This window comes from Homo sapiens, chromosome 2, assembly GCF_000001405.40.
Source record: "Homo sapiens chromosome 2, GRCh38.p14 Primary Assembly".
NCBI classification, from domain to species: Eukaryota; Metazoa; Chordata; class Mammalia; order Primates; family Hominidae; genus Homo; species Homo sapiens.
In genome coordinates, this window is record NC_000002.12 from 101,051,313 (window position 1) to 101,073,796 (window position 22,484).

The 22,484-nt window shown below is 43.3% G+C and overlaps 1 protein-coding gene and 1 pseudogene across 3 annotated transcripts in view; one reads left to right on the forward strand and one right to left on the reverse strand.

Moving 5' to 3' along the window:
• Nucleotides 1–22,484, reverse strand: part of TBC1D8 (TBC1 domain family member 8) — a 144,155-nt gene that overhangs the window by 44,085 nt on the left and 77,586 nt on the right. For all 3 annotated transcript variants that reach the window (NR_138475.2, NM_001102426.3, NM_001330348.2), the window contains exons 3-4: nucleotides 8,109–8,227; nucleotides 2,796–3,024 (exon numbers count right to left, since the gene is read on the reverse strand). Coding sequence is in view for 2 of the 3 variants with exons in the window: in NM_001102426.3 (NP_001095896.1) it covers nucleotides 2,796–3,024; nucleotides 8,109–8,227 (348 nt within the window). In the remaining variant the exon portion in view is untranslated. The remainder of the gene's footprint in view (nucleotides 1–2,795; nucleotides 3,025–8,108; nucleotides 8,228–22,484) is intronic.
• Nucleotides 17,066–17,359, forward strand: BBIP1P1 (BBSome interacting protein 1 pseudogene 1; annotated as a pseudogene).

Below are 22,484 nucleotides of genomic sequence, written 5' to 3' on the forward strand. Positions count from 1 at the left end.
GTTCTTTGAAGAATTGCCACACTGTTTTCCACAATGATTGAGCTAATTTACACCAGCAATACCATTCTGGACATGGGAACAGGCAAAGATTTTATGATGAAGATGCCAAAAAGCAATTGCAACAGAAGCAAAAACTGACAAATGGGATCTAATTAAGTGAAAGAGCTTCTGCACAGCGAAAGAAACTATCAACAGAGTAAACAGAAGCCTACAGAATAGGGGAAGTTTTTTGCAAACTAGATATCTCACAAAGGTCTAATATCCAGCATCTATAAGGAACTTAAACACATTTACAAGAAAAAAACAAACCACCCTGTTAAAAAGTGGCCAAAGGACACGAACAGACACTTTTCAAAAGAAGACATACATGCGGCCAACAAGCATATGGAAAAAAAAAGCTCAACATCACTGATCATTAGAGAAATGCAAATTAAACCCATAATGAGATGCTACCTCATACCAGTCAGAATGGCTATTACTAAAAAGTCAAAAAATAACAGATGCTGGCGAGGTTGTGGAGAAAAGGAAACATTTATATGCTGCTGGTATAAATACCTTTAAACCAGAGCAGGAAAGAAGAGCACAGACCACTTGCCAGCTGTTGGTCAAAACCCAACTCATGTTCTAATGGTTTTCTTAAAGATCTCAGTAAAACTTCCCAAGCTGCTGGCTACTGCATGTTGCAAAGGAACACTATTCTGAAATACCAAGTTAACAACATATACCTTTCTCAAGAATATTTAAACTTCAACAGTTATGCAAAAGTTTCTCAATCTACATAAATTCTGGTTTCAAAAACAGCATTCACGGTGTAAGCTATGGGAAAAAGAGGTGTGTAAATGAGGATCATTCATGATCTCGTTCAGAGAAATGGACTTAACATTTAGCCTGTGTCAATAACAGTTGTTAGAGTATTAGAAGACAGAGTATAAGCAGTTTTTATGAAACTTTAAAAAAGTAACATAGTACAAACAGTACATTTTAGAAACACCTGGTCTAGTCTCAGAAAGGTTTCTAACAGCAGTAGCCAGGGCTGGCAATACAGAGCCAGCAAGGAGAACAGAAAGTCTAAACATCTGGCGGCTTGCTGTCATCAGAGAGGCATGCAGAACACCTGAAAATCAGAAATGTCACCACATATTAGGAATCATTTATTTTTCCTAAATCTTTTTTTTTTTTTTTGAGGCGGAGTCTTGCTTTATCACCCAGGCTGGAGTGCGCTGGTGCAATCTCGGCTCACTGCAACCTCCACCTCCAGGGTTCAAGCGATTCTCGTGCTTCAGCCTCCCAAGTAACTGGGACCATAGGCGTGCACCACCGTGCCTGGCTAATTTTTGTATTTTTAGTAGAGGCGGGGTTTCCACTGTGCCTGACCTATTTTTTCCAAATCTTATCCTCCTAACACAATAAGGTTTAGTGACAATCACTAATAAGTGTAAGAAAACAATTCATTTTCCTTTTCAAATAGAGAATGACTGTTTTTATTTTTACCATTTCTTTCCATTTATCTTGCAATACCACTTTCAGTGCTTTAATAATTTTAAAGGCCAAATTTCTGCATCAGGCTCAACAATAAACTTCTCCAGCTACTTCTAGCTGCTTTCATAAAAACTCTTTTATACACAGGTATATGCTCCACCTACACCACCAACTTTCATTCATTAAGTATCTCCTTTGCGAAGTGCCTGCCCTGCATTGAAGGAGCTTGTTCACACAGAGAAAACAGACATGCATATTAGTAAGTGACCACTGACTTGCTGGGACCCAGCATAAAAATGCAAATACAGTACAAATAATATAGGGATCAGGGAAGGCTTTTGGATGTGACAAAATCTGAACTGAATTTTGAAGGATGATGGATGAATAGGAGTTTCCAATAGGCTAAGTACAGAGAAAGGAAAGAAAGCCAGGTGTACTTTGAAAAGCATTTCAAAAAGAAGGAAGGTGGCCAAGGTTAGGTCAGGGCACACTCCGAGGGTGTGGAAGGGCTGTGCAGATAGGGTGTATATCCCAGAGCATCAGAACCAAGGCTGGCGAGCTGGAAAAGGAACACCACGTGCCAGAAGCCAGCCACAGCAGACACTCAAGAGAAGCTCCTCTCACTGGTTCAACTTGAAATATAAATGAAGAAAGAAAACAAAATCACACACTCACATATGCAGCATCCATACTACCCAACATGAGCACTTGAAACAATATTTGGTTCTGGAAGAAGTGTCCGTGGGAATGACTTTTTAAACACTCAATACACAATTGACACTTGTGGCTTCTCTTTTTCACCTTGGAATCCCATTGCCTAGGACAATTCCTGCCACTGGATAAACAGGTGAGCAGTGAATCAGTGCATGAATCTCAAGGAAATAGTGAAGAATTCCCCTTCTGGAAGCGACTGCATATCCAGCCAGTCTTCCAAGGGGCAGTCCCGACCTTCAGCGCCAGGAATTTTTTTAATGGCCTGCTTTGTTAAGAAGCAGGAATATGTTCTCCACTTTGAGAAATATTAAGCCATCAGTGATAACACTATGTTTTCTAAACAACTTACAGTAGTAAAAACCCTTTAGTGGCTATATAAAGTGAACTATACAGGATGTTTCTTGAAGCAGTAGAAAAAGTGAATTCTCCAGATCTAATCCCCTGCTAGCAGTAGCATATATAAGTAATCAAGTGTCACCTGGTGTCATCTCCACCATTTATTTAAATCTGTCCAACTCTTCCTGTTAACGGCCCTTCCTGGGAGCAGCGCTGAGTCCCTGGGGCCAACTTTATCTTGGAAGAGCCTGCCAGGCCTCACTTACGTTCCTTGCCCAGGAAGAAGGAGTAGAAGCAGAGGTGGTTGATGCTGAGGTACAGCCAGCCCTGGCGGGGCACCCTGCCCTTCCAACAGCAGCAGGAGTAGTAGGTGACCAGCTTCTCCGCCTCGGGGAAGTTGAACCTGGCCTCGAACTTCACCAGGGCTTCTCGGAATTTCTCGGGTTCCTCCTCCTGCTCGGCGAGCCTGCTGCTGGTCTCCTCGGCTATCAGAGCCTGACACACAGAGATGACAGTCCCTGCTCAGTGAGCCAGCAATGGGAAGGCAGGGGGTGCAAGGGACAGGAAGCAGGAGGGACTGAGGTGCACAGGCCCCCGAGAAGTGTGCGCTGCTTCAACGACAGACACACCTGACGAGGAGAATGGCTCAGCCGTGTCATCCGTCAGCCACCCAGACACACGGCTGCAGCAGAAAAAAAAGGAATGGCAGTCGGGGTCAGAAAACCCAAGAACCAGTCTCTCACTCGGCCACTTACCGATCATGAGGCTCTGGGCAAATCATTTGACTTCTAAGCCCGGTTCTCAAACAAACAATCATTTTCTTTTCTTTTCTTTTTTTTTTTTTTTTTTTTTTTTTTGGAGACGGAGTTTTGTTCTTGTTGCCCAGGCTGGAGTGCAGTGGCACGATCTCAACTCACCGCAACCTCCACCTCCTGGGTTCAAGTGATTCTCCTGCCTCAGCCTCCCAAATAGCTGGGATCACAGGCACGCACCACCACGCTGGGCTAATTTTGTATTTTTAGTAGAGACGGGGTTTCTCCATGTTGGTCAGGCTGGTCTCGAACTCCCGACCTCAGGTGATCCACCTGCCTCAGCCTCCCAAAGTGCTGGGATTACAGGCATGAGCCACCACGCCCGGCCACAAATGATCATTTTCTAAATCTTCCCTATAGGCATATGAGGGTAAAAGGACTGGCTCAGGCCTGTGAACTCAGCATCAATCCCAAAGAACTACCCAACTTTAAGATAAAAGTTAGTCCTTTGAGCGTCCAGGTGTGGTGGTTCACACCTGTAATCCCAGCACTTTGGGAGACGGAGGTGGGCAGATCACTTTAGGCCAGGAGTTTGAGACCAGCCTGACCAACATGGTGAAACCCCATCTCTACTAAAAAATACAAAAATTAGCCAGGTGTGGTGGTGCACCTGCAATCCCAGCTACTTGGGAGGCTGAGGCACAAGAATCGCTTGAACCCCGGAGGCAGAGGTTGCAGTGAGCCAAGATTGTACCACTGCACTCCAACCTGGATGACAGAGTCCTCAAAAAAAAAAAAAGTTAGTCTTTTGAGAAAAACTCATGAAGATCTTCCTTATTAGGTTCAAAAATGTTGGTATTTAAGGCTACTACCTGCCTGACTGTGTGGCTCACTTTGTAGCCTTAAATGGATATTGGCCAAGGTTCCCAAGGTCATAAATAACCTCCAAAGCACTCAGGTCTATGGGAAAACAAAACATCTAAATCTATAATTTTTTGCCAAAACTGAGTAACAAGTAGTGTCCTTCATAATCTGGGGTGGTGGTAGAAGGGCCTAGAATTCAAGCTTGTGGCCTATTTGTTCCTAATTGACAACTCATTGCTAACATCAGAAATCTGATTTCCCATCCCTGGGAGCTCACCACAAAATCCTTCCCTGAGAATATCTTCTTGGTACCTTCATGTGAGCAGCTGTTTAGGAACTCCTGGGCCCCAAGCCTCACATGTGCTACCTGATTATAAAAATACATTTATAATTCAAATCCCAGCTACTCAGGAGGCTGAGGCAGGAGAATCATGTAAGCCCAAAAGTTTGAGGTTACAGTGCACTATGATGGCAACTGTGAACAGCCACTGCACTCCAGCCTGGGCAACACAGCAAGACCCCATCTCTAAAAATACACACATATATATAAATACTTCTATCATTTATTTTTATTAACATTTCTCTTTTTTTTTTTTTGGTAGGTATGTCTCATGAAAAGCTATGTCCCTCAAGACAAGACTACTTTTTGGGTATTGTTATGAAACCCTGCACTACTTTATAAGCTATTTTCAAAATCAAACCCGAGCACTGACATTAAAATAACAATGTAATGTAAAATTATTATTATTATTTTTTTTTTTTTTTTGAGACAGTCTCGCTCTGTCGCCCAGGCTGGAGTGCAGTGGCGTGATCTCGGCTCACTGCAAGCTCTGCCTCCCGGGTTCATGCCATTCTCCTGCCTCAGTCTCCCAAGTAGCTGGGACTACAGGTGCCTGCCACCATGCCTGGCTAATTTCTGTATTTTTAGTAGAGACGGGGTTTCACCGTGTTAGCCAGGATGGTCTCGATTTCCTGACCTCATGATCCACCCGCCTCCCAAAGTGCTGGGATTATAGGCGTGAGCCACCGCGCCCGGCCTAGAATTATTTTTAAAAGAAATCTGGAGGCTGATGAAATTTCAAGTGATTTTTATTTTCTTCATTATGTTTTTCTCTATTTCCCACATTTCATTTAACAAGACATTATACATTAATGAAGTTCTAGTTAAGAGAGATGAGTATTTTTGAAAAGCATATCTAATATATAATGAGTGCTGAGCTCTCCCCTTGCCCTGGAAGTGAGGCGTGGAGGGGTCTTTATGAAGGCTCCGGAGCAGACAGGCAGCAGGCACGGCTGCAGGGTGGTACCCAGTGGCTCCTGATGCAGGCATGAGGTGGCCGTGCTGACCCCTGCCTTCCTTGAAGTGTGGTTTCTGGTTATAGGCACAGCTTGAAACAGGGATTTTTTAAAAGTTTTGTAGAGTCATCAAAGGTTCAGGATATGAGTAGGAAAGCCTCTATTCCCAGATCCTTAGGATTTGGCCAGAGGAAAGGGAGATCAAATGTCATGCTGTGCTCCCAGGCTCAGGCCAGGCAGGCCCCTCACTCCCCAGCCCTGCCTCCTCAGGAATTATTTTTCAAAGCATTTTAGCTTCAAAGTGTCAGGGACTAGAATATGTCACCCCAAAATATGCCACTTTGGCATAAGGATTATTTTGAGCTGAAGAAAACTGAGAAACCACAAACACCAAAAAGGCTCTCTGTCTTCCCCTGGCATTTGCCTAAAAACAGGACCTGTTTTTAAAGGTCCATTTGTCGAGGTGTGTCCTGCTCCTGTACCAGAAAGAGGACTTTGACTCTCAGTCACCAGAAACAGCTCTTGACCCTCCCAAGTCCAGAAACAGCCCTGAGAGGAATCTACATAACAAACCTCACTAAAATAATCCTTAGCTTCTATGAGTTTCCCACACAGTACACTGCCCCCAAAAGCCTAAAGGCCTTTTCCCTAGTCTTGTCACCTTTCTACAAATGCACTGTTCTTTGCTGAGATGCTATGTAAGCCCAAGTGCTAACCACCCCTGTGAGTTACTCATCACTGAGTTTCTGTTACATATATGCATGCTTTTGTGTTCAAATAAAGTCTGTTTGGCTGGGCGTGGTGGCTCACATCTATAATCCCAGCACTTTGGGAAGCCAAGGCAGGAGGATTGCTTGAGCCCAGGAGTTCGATCAGCTTGGGCAACATAATGAGACTTCGTCTCTACAAAAAATAAAAACATTAGCCAGGTGTGGTGGTGTGTGCTTGCAGCCCCAGCTACATGGGAGGCTGAGGCAGGAGGATCACTTGAGCCTGGGAGGTCAAGGCTGATGTGAGCCACGATTGCACCACTGCACTCCAGCCTGAGTGACAGAGCAAGACCCTGTCTCAAAAAAACAACCAACAAAAATAAACTCTGTTTTTCTCTTGTTAATCTTTTGTCAGTGTAATTTCCAGGGCCCCAGCCATGAAATCTAGGAGAGTCAAGGACAAGTTTTCTTATTCTACAGAAGCCGTTTTAAAATCACTGTAGCGAAAGTTAATTTTCTTCCTCCAAATTAAGAAGAGCAACACCTAAATCAAATAACCACTACAACTTGCATTAGACCAAGAAACGCAGGGTAAGTGTGAAAAATAGTGCTGAATGGGGCCTTTCTGTAGCTACCCCAGTATGATCTGACCCAGGGAAGTGAGCCACAGTTGGCTGGGCCAGGATGAGGGCTGACCCGAGCCCACCAACGCCTAGCCCACCCCCTAACCCCACAGGCCAGGTATAACTCCAAGAAGACATTGTCAAGCTGGCTGGACTTGGGATGCCTTCCCTTTCACCAAATCCCACAAGTAACCCCCAGTCCCCAAAGGAAAAAATTTTGTTCCTCCAAAATCAAAAATCTGCTTTGACACCCTTTACTAAAAGCCATAGCACTTGACGTATTAGAAAGCCAAGCTTTTTGCAGAAAACAAACAAAATCGAAGGGCTAGGAGGTTTTACCCTAAGGAAGGAAAACTGTATCATACGCTAATGTGTTAAAGTATTTAATGAGAGAGTTAAATTTAGAATGAGAAACCATCTCTCCCAACCCGATGGGGCTTTTAAAGCACTGATTACCCATCATGTTATTGCAGTGAGGCCAGTTATATAAGACTGTAACTCACAGGAGGTATCACAGATACCTCCAAAAATATTCCTCTCTTGCCAACTCAAAACTTAATTGGCTTTCATTACATTTAATTTACATATTTTAAGAATAAACATCCACTTCTAGCAGGAGGAAAGTGGTAGATCCAACAGAACAGTGTGACAAGATGTCACAACTGCAAAAAAAAAAAAAAGGTGATTTAAGAAGTCAAATAATGTGTTGCTCTGCGGAAACATAAATCTTAACACTATTTTTTTTTCCTGGGATAAAAAAAGGCCTTCACTCCTGTAAAGGATAACAAAAACTAAGTCTGAGAATAAAGTCTTTTTTATTTTTTATTTTTTTTTTTTGAGACAGAGTCTCACTTTGTCGCCCAGGCGGGAGTGCAGTGGCTCTGTCTCGGCTCACTGCAAGCACCACCTCCCGGGTTCACGCCATTCTCTTGCCTCAGCCTCCCGAGTAGCTGGACTACAGGTGCCCGCCACCATGCCCAGCTAATTTTTTTTGTATTTTTTAGTACAGATGGGGTTTTACCGTGTTAGCCAGGATGGTCTCGACCTCCTGACCTCGTGATCTGCCTGCCTCGGCCTCCCAAAGTGCTGGGATTACAGGCGTGAGCCACCGTGCCCAGCCAAGTCTTTTTTTTTTTTTTTTTTTAACATGTCAGGTGTATTTTGCTAGACTGACTACAAAGTTAAGACAGGTGATAAATGAAACTTATTTGGCATTACGTATTGAGCCAAAAGTTCAGTTAGTAGGAAAAACTGTTAGTATGCTACAGTGTTCGGAATGTCTTAAGGAAGAAAGATGGAAAGATGGGGAGAAACATGAAACTCAGGGGACCTACCTTTACCTTCCCTTTGACAAAACTGGCAATGTCATCTTTATTATCAAAGACAGACAAGGTGTGGAGGAGATTTTGTTCCAGCCAGTCCCAGTGCTGATTGATTTCCTCTAATGTTGCACCTGGATTCAAACAGAAAAAGATACAGAGATTAAAAAATGCAATAGAAGTAATTCCTAGAACGTTAACTCATTTTCCAAATATTGTGTATCCCCATGTTGATGTTAAAACATCTGGCCTTGGCCAGGCGCAGTGGCTCACGCCTGTAATCCCAGGACTTTGGGAGACCAAGGCAGGCGGATCACAAGGTCAGGAGATCGAACCATCCTGGCTAACAAGGTGAAACTCTGTCTCTACTAAAAATGCAAAAAATTAGCCGGGCGTGGTGGCGGGCACCTGTAGTCCCAGCTACTCGGGAGGCTGAGGCAGGAGAATGGCATGAACCCAGGAGGCGGAGCTTGCAGTGAGCCGAGATGGCATCACTGCATTCCAGCCTGGGCGAGAGTGCGAGACTCCGTCTCAAAAAAAAAAAAATCTTGCCTCTCATACCCTGGGCCACAGTTTGCCAGATGAAAAGGAAGGCACCCCCATAGGGGCCGTGGTGCTCCTCCCTGCAGGACTGGGATGTGCAAGCGTCACTCCCACTGCCACAAAGATGGGCCAGGTGGCCAAGTGAGTTACCGCTGGGACTGTTCTATGACCATCCCACCCACCCTACTAACGCAAAGAACTCTGACCATCTCCACTCAAATGACAGAAACATTTCTAATGATTCAGCTACTCCGGCATGGAACAAGCCCTGAGTAGCAGACCAATCCTAAGCAGCCTTGCAAAGTTCTCCCATGAAAACAAGGGTGCCTTCAAGAAGTACTAAAGCCCAAGTCCACGGAGGAATGAGCCTCTTGCCAGGGCCAGGGACTGCCACTTGCACCCAACATTGCTGCAACACAACAAGCAAGGGCCTAGGAAATTTACAGCTTACAAATGCATACTTCATATCATTTATAGCAATGACCGTTAAAAACATACATAAAAAGAGGTCTTACGGTACATGTTAAAATAGAAACACAAAAGCATTAAATCAAAGGCGTAAATTCATTTCTTTCAATGACAATTTTTTTAAATCACCACATTATTAAAGCATTAAGCAAAAAGCTTAGTCATTTTAGTTGTCTGTATTTCCTCTCTATTCTCATCATCTCTACTGGACAATGGGCACTTTAACACAGGGACTACTTCCAGCTCCTCATGAAGGGCCTGGCACACAGCAGATGCTCAGTAAGCACACGACTAGAAGCACACACGGTCCTGGACAACAAAAGGCACGTGGGCATCAGGTGTTTCTACTGTAGGCAGGTTTCCAAAATGGGAAGCAGGAGATATTCTAACCTCAAAGAAATTAGACAACAACAGAGCTGAATCATCTAGCCAGTGTGAGAGGGATATGGTGCCCAGAGCCACACACCACTTACTCAAAAGCCAGATATGGACCGGGTGCAGTGGCTCACGCCTGTAATCCCAGCACTTTGGGAGGCCGAGGTGAATGGATCACTTGAGGTCAGGAGTTTGAGACCAGCCTGGCCTACATGATAAAACTCCATCTCTACTAAACATACAAAAATTAGCCAGTCACGGTGGTGGGCCCCCCTAATCCCAGCTTCTTGGGAGGCTGGGTCAGGAGAATCTGTCGAACCTGGGAGGCGGAGATTGCAGTGAGCCGAGATCACGCCATTGCAATCCAGCCTGGGTGACAGAGCAAGACTCTGTCTCAAAAAAAAAAAAAAAAAAAAAAAGCCAGGCATGCATTTTGCTCAGTCATCTTTCTCTCTGCATGTTATGTGCAGCCTTCCTCTCCCTGGAATGTAAATATAAACACCCCACACAAGAAGGTGCCAGGGGACCGGCTCTGGACTTGTGGCTGCTTTGGAGTCCATGAGAATGAAAAACATCTATCTGTAGTAGGACTGTTGTTCTGAGCGGACACTTAGGGAAGGAATAAAAAGAAGTATCTAATAGAATATTTCATAAGGAATAATGAAAGTTTAAAACAGTGGTGCCTATTTTGTATTTCTTGGGCAAGGCATTGGCCAAAGCAGTATCCTTCAGTCATCACTAAAGCCAGTGTTCTCATCAGAGCTGGGAGGGCCAGCCCAGGCTTCTCTCTGCCTGAGGTCTCTATTCACAGGCCATGACTTCCCCGGTCCCTACACCAAGAGCACTTAGTCAATGACCCTGCCCTGCTGCCCCTCGGTCCCACCTCCCGTGTCATGCTCTCCATGGATCACAGAAGTCCAAGCAGCAGCCCACTCAGGTGTAGCAGAAGCTTCCTCTGAGGTGAGGGGTCCCGGTCCTCTTGCTCTCCACTTCCTGCCATCTGGGAGGGCTCCTGCGGTGTCACAAAGCCCCTGGCCCTTCAGGCTCCCCATCCCTCTTACAATCAGGAAAGCTTATTTTAAAACAAAATCAAACCCAGCTACTCTAGGCTCCCCAGCATGACTCTCTTGAAGCTTCCGACCTTTCCCTACCTGCACTGAGGCCCAGAGCGTCTGCTTGGTTCCTCAGCTGGTCGTAACACACGCCATGCTGGCCCGACTTAGGGGTACATCTGGTTTACCTGCCTCTGGCTTAAGTCTCCCTGCCCTGTTCAGTGCTCCCAGGTGGCAGGTGTGTAGGTGTCAGCCACAAGAACACCCTCGTCTAAATCCAGTGGGTCAGCAATGGTGTCTCTCTATCACATCACTAAGTCGGGTTCCACCCAAGCTGATAATCTTGCACAAGCACCTGGGGTAGCCCAGGGCTCTGCTTTTCCTGGGTACTTTAAGACCTTTTCTTTCTAGGTCTTTATCCTTTATTATCCATTACAATAAAACCTGTCACTCAGAATAAAGAAAAAAAAAAAACAAGTGAAGAATAAGCTAAAAAGGGAGCATTTTATGGGACCTCGATCTTTTGCTATTTGTTTTCATGGACTCATTGATCCAGAAGAAGAGAGAACTAAGAGTTGCAGGAACGAAGAAGAACTAAAGCAGGGAGAAGACTCACCTTTGTGGTGCTAGTCTGTTCCAGATGCTATCTCACAGATCTGTGATGAAGACTGAATGAGGAAATGGAGGCTCAAGTATTTGTCCAAAATCATATCAAATGAAGGGCAAACCAGGGCATGAAATGACTCTCTACAACTTCAAAGTACTCTAGGGTCCTTCCATAAAAAGCTATATTTGAATCATTATTATTTATTATTTTTTTGGAGATGGAGTCTCTGTCACCCAGGCTGAAGTTCAGTGGTATGATCTTGGCTCACTGTAACTCTGCCTCCCGGGTTCAAGTGATTCTCCCACCTCAGCCTCCCAAATAGCTGGGACCACAGGCGCACACCACCACGCCTGGCTAACTTTTGTATTGTTAGTAGAGACGGGGTTTCACCATGTTTGTCAGGCTGGCATCGAACTCCTGACCTCGTGATCCGCCCGCCTTGGCCTCCCAAAGTGCTGGGATTACAGGAGTGAGCCACCGCGCCCAGCCCTGCTAATTTGAATTTTTAAGTATCATTTACATCATCCTCAGGCCCAGTTCTTGCTATGGCTGGGCATTAAAAAAGATACTTTGTGCTTCCACTTACAGCGAGCTGTCTCCCTCCACTCCCATCCTCCCAAATGCATCCTTTCGGACGACCTGATACAGGTTTTCATTTATCCTGCTATTAAGCTCACAGGGGCTAACACCGTTAACTGATACCAGCTAACCGCATGCGTCTTCCTCAATGATAACTTTAGATAACGTGAATAAATTATCATCAAGCTCCAACACAATATATCCCTATGGAATTAAGATTTGAGACAAAGTCATCAAAAAACTAGACTTTTATTCTTTAAAAAATTCATTCTAACCTATTAGGAAGGAGCTTATCATAGAGAAAGATAATTCTAAAACAAAAACAAACCCACACCTTAAAAGAGAAAATAAACCACACATAAAAAAAACTATCACTGAGCTATAGTAAGCTTTTGTTCCAATCTACCCTGCTCCTGAATATAAGACATAATTGTATGCTTCTCCCAGCAAAGACAATCAATATGATGAAACTTTTCCACCCTACTGGCTTCTATTTCCTACACAAGTTGCCAAATGGCAGGGAAATTTTCCAGACTGTAATTTCCTCTGCAGAGAAGTCTTATGATGGGTTCCACAAATTCCACAAATCAATGCAAGCCAACTGCATGTCCGTGACCGCAAAAGATTAAAAGGGAAAGTCCTTTAATATATGTCACATATCACAGTTCTCAAACTACACTACAGCAGTTTTTCAAATTACATAAAGTAGCACATCTGAAAATACCTTTTTTCAAAAAAAAAAATAGAAAACAGAATACATGCAAACTCCTAAGGATAGCTACTGATTTGTAAAATATTTGTTAGAGTTATGCACACACATGTGAATATATTTCTGTCTGTGGGTCATGGCCAAAAAAAAAACTGAAAGCCACTGCATTATAGACATACCAGCAGTGGGAAGGGTAGAGAAGAGAAAACAAGAAAGTGAGAATGTGTCATCCATTGAAGACGCAGGATGATAAAAAGCCTACAAATTAACTCAGTACCACAGCAATGTTCTCACTGCTGCTTCTGCTGACTTTCCAAAGCCAAGACAGAGGAGAGCTGCTATTATGGCCTGAATTTTGTCTCCCCAAAATTCATGTTGAAGCCCCTGCTCCCAGTGGGAGTGTGTTTGGAGATAGCACTTTTAAGGAGGTATACGGTTAAATAAGGTCATTAAAGCAGGGCTCTAGTTTGGCCTGACTGGTGTCCTTATAAGAAGAGACACCGGGGAAGTGCACCCATGGAGAAAAGGCCATGTGAGGACACAGAGAGAAGGCTGCTGTCTGCAATCCAAGGAGAGAGGAGACCTCACCAGAAACCAACCCTGCTGGCACCTTGATCCTGGACTTCCCAGGCTCCAGAACTGTGAGAAATCAATGCTTGTTATTTAAGCCACTCAGTGTGTGGAGGGGGATGGAGGTGAGGTAGAGGTGGGGAGCAGCTCTAGCAAACTAATGCAGCTGTCTAAAACCAAAATTTATAGCAATATTGTGGACCATCATGGAAGTACAATTAGTGAAACTACGCCTGTCTTATTAAGACCTCCAATTTTTCAAAAAAAGACTTTTTCGTTTTCTAAGAAAATGAAAGTCCAGTGAATCTTAAACTTCACCCACATAAGAAGTCAAAAGTCAGAGTTATAAATGCCTCTGCAAAACTAAAATTCAGTATTAGAAACCTCAGGTAAGACCACATAACGAACAACACTGATGACTTAGGAGTAACCAAATCCATGTTCTGAGAACAACCAGAGGTGGTCAACAGAGGACATCTTCTGGATGCCTGACATGTGTCAGGAATTTTGTTCCATATACCATACACATAATATTACTTATCTCCATAAAATACATAAAAAACAAGGTAACTGCCAGTATTTTAATTTTCTAGGTGAGAAGAGCAAAGTGAAAAAAATAACCAACCCGAAAGCCAATTCATCTGACTCGGGCCTGGCTCTGCCCATGACATCGTCATGGATGGAAGCTCCCAGTGGCTGAGTCACACTGAAACGCACACACAATATTTATTCTCTTAGGTTTTTCCCAGAGGTGTTTTCAGGAAATAAAACAAGCATCTCATTGTCTATGCCCACAGCTCCTGCATGGACACTGCCACAAAGAACTTGATCCAAGCTTGTTTTCAAAAGCAGCTGCTTCTCTCTGCACAGTAAATATCCAACTGAATTAAGTGCCTTCTCCAGCCACCTAAGTCCTAATCAACAATGAAATGGGCATTCTGTGTGTATAGTTCAGATCTGTTCCTCTGAAATGACAAGACATTTCTCTACAGGCCAAACACTAACCATCTACTGTCTAAATGCCTGGGCTAAAAGCCATACAGACTACAAAGGAGCTAGTTAAAAGTTAACTGTCATGGCAATGTCATTCCCAAATCTCACTCAACACTCACCCTGTGCAGGGTAACTCAGGATCAAAGAATTCAAGCAAAAATTACAAATGAAGGAGGGAAAGGGTTGGAACAAAAAGCCTTTGATTTTCAGAGAGCTGACATTCTTCAAGTGGATACTGTAACATCTAATCTGTAAGTCGAAAGCAGTATCTTTACAAGAACATGAAAAAGTTCAATGATCATCCCATCATCATGATTTACAAGATTTTCAGTCGGGTATATTTCTCACTATAGAGTTTAAGAAAATAAGCTTTAAATGTTTCTTTTTACAAAATTTCCTTGGCTTTTTTTTGCCTTCAAGTGAAATTAAAGAGTCCTAAAAGTGAAAAACAGACAAACTTAATCTCTGCAACAATAAAATTAAAATAGCCTTTTAATTTATAATTGAAGTGGTCATTAAAATGTCCTTGTAATAGTACCATTAGACATACTTTTCAGAAATAAAAGCAGGAATAGAAGACACAGGAAAAACATGATGTGATCAAATGAAAAATCAGTAAGTAGAAACAGAGTCAGAAATGACACAAAAAATAGAATCAGTAGACCAAGACATAAAACAGCTATTATAAATATACTCTAAGGCAGGCACAGTGGCTCATGCCTGTAATCTCAACACTTTGGGAGGCCGAGGCAGGCAGATCACCTGATCAGGAGTTTGAGACCAGCCTGGCCAACATGGTGAAACCCGGTCGGTCTTTACTAAAAATACAAAAATTAGTTGGGTGTGGTGGCGGGTGCTGGTAGTCCCAGCTACTCAGGAGGCTGAGGCAAGAGAATTGCTTGAACCCGGGAGATGGAGGTTGCAGTGAGCCGAGATCACGCCACTGCACTCCAGCCTGGGCGAAACAGCAAGAGTTCATCTCAAAAAAATAAAATAAAATAAAATAAATATAAATATACTCCATATGTTCAAATGGTAGAAGAAGGTACAGGCCTGTTAAGAAGCCAAATGGAAGACATTTAAAAAGACCCAGCTCAAACCTTTAGGAATGAGAAATATGGTATTTACATAAGATTAAATCAATATGGGGGAAAAATCAATTCTTAAAAAAATGGATAAAGTTAACTATTGGGTTATTAAAATAATTACACAGCAAAAATAACTAATTAAATAGTGTTTTGATTACACATATGTACAGACATACCTCAAAAATATTATGGGTTCAGTTCCAGACCCATGAAATTAAGGAAATATCACAATAAAGTAAGTCACACAAATGTTTTGCCTTCCCAGTGCATATACTGGCCTGGCGCAGTGGCTCATGCCTGTAATCCCAGCACACTGGGAGGCTGAGGCGGGCAGATCACAAGGTCAGGAGTTTGAGACCAGCCTGGCCAACGTGGCGAAACCCCGTCTCTATTAAAAATACGAAAGTTAGCCAGATGTGGTGGCATGCACCTGTAATCTCAGCTACTCGAGAGGCTGAGGCAGGAGAATTTCTTGAATTCAGGAGGCAGAAGTTGCAGTGAGCGGAGATCGAGTGCCACTGCACTCCAGCCTGGGCGACAGAGCGAGAGTATCCCAAAAAAAAAAAAAAAAAAAAAAAAATCAAAGTTATACTGACACTATACTGTAGTCTATTAAGTGTGCGATTGCATTATTACGAATCCTCCCATCTCCTCTCTCCTGCTGTTTCTGGTGGCCTCTGACCATGTATTTGTATGGTGTTGGAGATACAGCCAGTGGCTATGGGAGGAAGGTGCTTTCTGGCTGGCAGAGTGTTTACGACTTCAGTTCTTACATCAAATGCACCTTGCTAAATCTAAACAACCAGCTGTCTATTAAAATAATGAATCCTCCTCTCTTATAAGGTAGACGTACAGCCATGACAAGGTACTATACTGGCCTTTAAGGCATTTTGTTCCAAATACTGCATGGGAAGAGTAAAATGTTCTCTCTTCAAGAGCAGTGGTGACAATCACAGATGACCAAGCTTGAAGAACACAGTTTTCACAGACTGTCGTGGGGGACGTTGAGATCAGGGACAGGCATACCTTGGAGATAGTGTGGGTTTGGTTCTAGACCACCACGATAAAGCAAGTATCACAATTAAGTGAGTCACTCGCAGGTTTTTAAATTTCCCAATGCATATAAAAATTATGTTCACAGTATGCTGTTAGTCTATTAAGTGTGCGAAAGCATTACGTCTTCTAAAAAGTACATGTCTTACCTAGAGAATACTTTATGGCTTAAAAAAACATTCATGATTATCTGAGCCTTCAGCAAGTCATAATCTTTTTGCTGCTGGAAGGTCTTGCCTTAATGTTGATGGCTGCTGACTGTCAGTGTGCTGGCTGCTGAAAGTTGGGATGGCTGTGACAATTTCTCAACATAAAATGACAATGAAGTTTCTGGCACGATTGACTCTCTCTTTCACGAAGATGCTGTTGGTAGCATTTTGCCCACAGTAAAACTTTTCAAATTTGGAGTCAATTCTCTCAAACTGCTGCTTTATGAACTAAGGTTTATGAAATACTCTAAATCCTTTGTTGTCATTTCAACAATGTGTGAAGCGTTCAACAATGTTTCAACAGCCTCTTCACCAGGAGTAGATGCCCTCTCAAGAAGCCACTTTCTTTGCTCATCAGTAAGAAGCAACTCCTCATTCGTTCAAGTTTAATGAGATTGCAGCAATTCAGTCCCATCTTCAGGCTCCACTTCTAATTCCAGTTCTCTTGCTGTTTCCACCACATCTGCAGTGACTCCCTCCACTGAAGCCTTGAACCCCCGAAGCCCTCAAAGTCATCCACGAGGATTAGAATCAACTTCTTCCAAACTCCTATTAATGTTGGTATTTTGACCTCCTTCCAAGAATCACAAATGTGCCTCAGGCATCTAAAATGGCAAATCCTGACTATGACCTGCGGCAGCAGCTGAGACACCTGCGAAGGGATGCATCTTTTCTTCTGTAGGCTTGAGTCAAGAACTCTCGGTCTTCTTGGTAATACCGGGTTGGATGTCAAAAGTTGCAGAAAAAAGACCAGAACGTTCAGGAAAAAACTTAACTGTATCCAGCAATTCAGATATAGCGAAAGTGAAGTCAATGTTCCAGGAAGTTCTTCCAAAACAAAGGTAGTTGTCTCTGGAAGATGGAACCACAGTGGTGGTATGTAAACCCAAACTTTTACCCTTAAAATCTCTGACTCTGGTAAAATTAGAGAAAATGCACCAAGCAGCACAGGATACAATTCGCCAACAAGAAATGGCAGAAAAGGAACAATGGCAAATAACCCACTGGATGATACCTTAGCACTTTAGGGAACAATCTGCCTTATCTACTATTTAACAATAACTTGGCTGTATGTGGTGGCTCATGCCTGTAATCCCAGCACTTTGGGAGGCCAACGCAGGGAGATCACCTGAGGTCAGGAGTTCGAGACCAGCCTGGCCAACATGGTGAAACCCTGTCTCAACTAAAAATACAAAAATTAGCTGAGCGTGGTGGTGGGGCGCCTGTAATCCCAGATACTCAGGAGGCTGAGGCTCAAGAATCGCTTGAACCTGGGAGGCGGAGGCTGCAGTCAGCAGAGATCGCGCCACTGCACTCCAGCCTGGGCGACAAGAGCAAGACTCCGTTTCAAGAAAAAAAAAAAAAAAGGCCAGGCATGGTGGCTCACATCTGTAATCCCAGCATTTTGGAGGCCGAGGCGGGTGGATCATGAGAGCAGGAGTTCGGAACCAGCCTGGCCAATATGGTGAAACCCCATCTCTACTAAAAATACAAAAATTAGCTGGGCGTGGTGGCAGGCACCTGTAGTCTACTCGGGAGGCTGAGGCATAAGAATCCCTTGAATCCGGAAGGCGGAGCTTGCAGTGACCCAAGATCACGCCACTGCACTCCAGCCTAGGCAACAGAGTGAGATTACGTCTCAAAAAAAAAAAAGGCCAGGCACAGTGGCTTACGCCTGTAATCCCAGCACTTTGGGAGGCTGAGGTGGGCGGATCACCTAAGGTTGGGAGTTTGAGACCAGCCTGACCAACATGGAGAAATCCCGTCTCTACTAAAAATACAAAATTTGCCGGGCGTGGTGGTGCTTGCCTGTAATCCCAGCTACTCAGGAGGCTGAGGCAGGAGAACTGCTTGAACCTGGGAGGCGGAGGTTGCAGTGAGCCGAGATCGTGCCATTGCACTCCGGCCTGGGCAACAAGAGCGAAACTCCATCTCAAAAACAAAACAAAACAAAACAAACCAATAACTAGAAAATAAGGTGCAATGAAAGTATTTGTTAATAATATCAATAAAATTGATAATATTCATATAAATAATATAAAAATGCCCAAGATTGATAGAACTTGTATTGTGAATTTAAACACTCTGGTTTGTATTAAACATAGCAGTTAAACTTTGAACCAAATTTTATGGGATTTTTTTTCTCAAGTCATGTTTTTAGAATTGCAAATTAAATTATTCACTATTCTTATCGCTTTCAGTTTTACAGATAACATTCTTGGACACAAGGAACTAAATACAACATTTATATACAGAGCATGTTTACTTTTTTTTTTTTTTTCACACGGAATTTTGCTCTTGTTGCCCAGGCTGGAGTGCAATAGCGTGATCTCGGCTCACTGCAACCTCCGCCTCCTGGGTTGAGGCGATTCTCCTGCCTCAGTTTCCTGAGTAGCTGGGATTACAGGCACCCACGACCACGCCCAGCTAATTTTTAGTATTTTCAGTAGAGATGTGGTTTCATCACATTGGTCAGGCTGGTCTTGAACTCCTGACCTCAGGTGATCTACCCGCCTCGACCTCCCAAAGTGCTGGGATTACATGTGTGAGCCACTGCTCCCGGCCTACATTTTTATTAAAAACCTGAATTTGAAGATACATTCCAATCTTACATAAAGTTCATGTTGGGTTTTTACATTACCTAATTAGAAAAAACCTTTTTTAACCAATTTTCTGTGCCATGTTATGTTAAATACTATTAAATATCTTGTGTGACCAACCGATCCTACCAGTAAAGGCAAAACTGTGTCTTAAAACAAATCTGATTTTTTTTTTTTTTGAGATAGAGTCTCACTCTGTTGCCCAGGCTGGAGTGCAGTGGCACAATATCAGCTCACTGCAACCTCCGCCTCTCAGGTTCAAGCAATTCTCCTGCCTCAGCCTCCCTAGGAGCTAGGATTACAGGTGCCCACCACCATGCCCTGCTAATTTTTGTATTTTTAGTACAGACGGGGTTTCACCATGTTGGCCAGGCTAGTCTCAAACTCCTGACCTCAGGTGATCTGCCTGCATCAGCCTCCCAAAGTGCTGGGATTACAGGCGTGAGCCATCGCGCCCAGCCAACAAATCTGATTTTTAAGAAACCCTCACCTATTCTGTAGTCAGCTAAGCTTCTAATTACATTAATTTCAAGGACTTGAGAATTACATTTCTGCCTTTATCATCCACGTATCAAACAATTACAAACCTAAAAATGGTTACTGTAATTATCTACATAAGCCTAAATAATATGGACTTGAAAGACCCCAGGAGGTCAATATACATATTAAACTTGGATTTTTAATTCTAAAACATTGTACCTAAGCCTCTAATAGATACATTGCTAAAAGTATCTTTGTAAATTCTGAATGTAATTCTTGGGGGTTTGTCTCAGTCAATAATAGGCAATTTAAATTAGCATCGGCCAGGCCAGGCACGATGGCTCATGCCTGTAATCCCAGCACTTTGGGAGGCTGAGGCGGGCGGATCACGAGGTCAGGAGATGGAGACCATCCTGGCTAATACGGTGAAACTCCGTCTCTACTAAAAATATTTTTAAAAATTAGCCAGGTGTGGTGGTGGGCGCCTATTATAGTCCCAGCTACTCGGGAGGCTGAGGCAGGAGAATGGTGTGAACCCGGGAGGCGGAGCTTGCAGTGAGCCGAGATCGCACCACTGCACTCCAGCCAGGGCGACACAGCGAGACTCCGTCTCAAAAACAAACAAACAAACAAACAAATAAATAAATAAATAAATAAATAAGCATCGGCCTTAAGGCCTGGTTATTGGGCCCTGTGGGGAGGCTAGAAATGTGATCATTCTTTAGTTAATTGTTATTGACTGGTAGGTGATATTTTCTCAGATATTAAGTAAATGTAAAGCTTTGGGTATTTGGAGAATAACTTTCTATAACACTAACCATTATTTGATAATAGAACTTAAGAATGATGAAAGGTATTATACATTTTAGAAATTTAACCCAGGTCTAGATCAGAGTAGTAAACAATGGAGAAAAGTGTGCCTGTGTTTTTCCCCAGTTTAATTTTAAATAATTTACTATTGTACTCTCATTTTAAAAGTTTGCAGGGAAAAAAAAAGTTTTCAAGGCACACAGATTAAATTCACTAAGTTCAAATATGCATCCTTATATGATTTAAAATTTGCTGTGTGAAATTTAAAAGTGTTTTTAAAGATCTAAAATAAAGGTACTACAAATTTAAAAAATCAAAAAATAAAATGGTGCTTTCCAGAACGTTTTCAATTTACTTTGCCCAGATGAATCAGAGGAATCACAATTCATCTATGCAACTATAGCCTTATGAAATGTATTTCTTAAATAATAAGACTTGAAAGTCAAAATTACTCCTTGACCCATGGGCTGCAGAATGGATGTTGTATTAGCAGGCATGAAAGCAACATTAATCTCCTTGTACATCTTCATCAAGCTCTTGGGCAACCAGGTGCATTGTCAATAAGCAGTAATACTTTGAAAGGTATCTTTTTTTCTGAGCATTAGGTCTCAACAACAGGTATGTTAATCTGTTTGCACTGCTATAAAGGAATACCTGAGGCTGGGTAATTTATAAAGGAAAGAGGTTTAATTGGCTCACAGTTCTGCAGGCTATATGGAAAACACTGCACCAGCATCTGCTCCTGGTGAGGCCTCGGGAAGCTTACAATCATGGCAGAAGGCAAAGGGGGAGCAGGTGTGTCAAAAGGAGAGGGGCAGGAGAGAGAGAGAAGGAGAGAGAGAGAAAAAGAGAGCACAAAAGAGAGAAGGGAGAGGCCCCAGGCTCTCTTAACCAACCAAATCTCGTGTGAACTGAGTAAGAACTCACTCATCACCAAGGGGATGGCACTAAGCCAGCAGTCCCCAAACTTTCTGGCACCAGAGACCAATTTTGTGGGAGACAATTTTTCCATGGACCATGGGGGATGGTTTTGGGATGAAACTGTTCCACCTCGGATCATCATCAGGCATTGGTTAGATTCCCATAAGGAGTACTTGACCCAGATGCCTCGCATGCACAGTTCACAATAGGGGGTCACACTCCTATGAGAGTCTAATGCCACCACTGATCTGACAGGAGGCCAAGCTCAGGCAGTAATGTGCACTTGCCTGCCGCTCACCTCGTCCTGTGTGGTCCAGTTCCTAACAGGCCACAAATTGGTACCAAATTGGTACTAATCTGTGGCCCGTGGGTTGGGGACCTATGCACTCAGCCATTCAAGAGGGATCTGCCCCCCGACCCAAACACTTCCCACTAGGCCCACCTCCAACGTTGGAGGTCACATTTCAATATGAGATTCGAAGGGGACAAAACACCCAAATCATATCAGTGGGCTTCAGATATTCAGTAAATCATGCTATAAACAGATGTGCTGTCATGCAGGCTTTGTTGTTCCATTTATAAAGCACAGGCAGAATACATTTACCATAGTTCTTAAGGGCCCTAGGATTTTCAGAATGGTCAGTGAGTACTGGCTTCAACTTGAAGTCACCAGGCATGTTAGCCCCTATATCAAGAGGAGCTTTGAAGCCAGGCACTCACTAACTTTTCCTCTCCAGCTATACAATTTCTAGATAGCATCTTCTTCCAACAGAAGGCTCTTTCATCTACATTGTTTTATTTTTTTTATTTTTTATTTTATTTTATTTTATTTTATTTATTTTTTTTTTTGGAGATGGAGTCTTGCTCTGTTGCCCAGGCTGGAGTGCAGTGCCACGATCTCGGCTCACTGCAACCTCCGCCTCCTGGGTTCATGCCATTCTCCTGGCTCAGCCTCCCCAGTAGCTGGGAATACAGGTGCCCGCCACCACGCCCAGCTACTTTTTTGTATTTTTAATACAGATGGGGTTTCACCGTGTTAGCCAGGATGGTCTCGATCTCCTGACCTCGTGATCCGCCCGCCTCGGCCTCCCAAAGTGCTGGGATTTACAGGCGTGAGCCACCACACCCGGCCATCTACATTGTTTTAAAGTCAGTTGTGTAGTGTGGCAACCTTCATCAACGAGCTCTGCTGGACCTTCTGGATATTATAACTCACTGCAGCTTCTCCATCAGTACTTGCTGCTTCACCTTGTACTTTTATGTTATGGAGATGGCTGCTTTCCCTAAACCTGATTAACCAACATCTGCTAGCTTCAAACTTTTCTTCTGCAGCT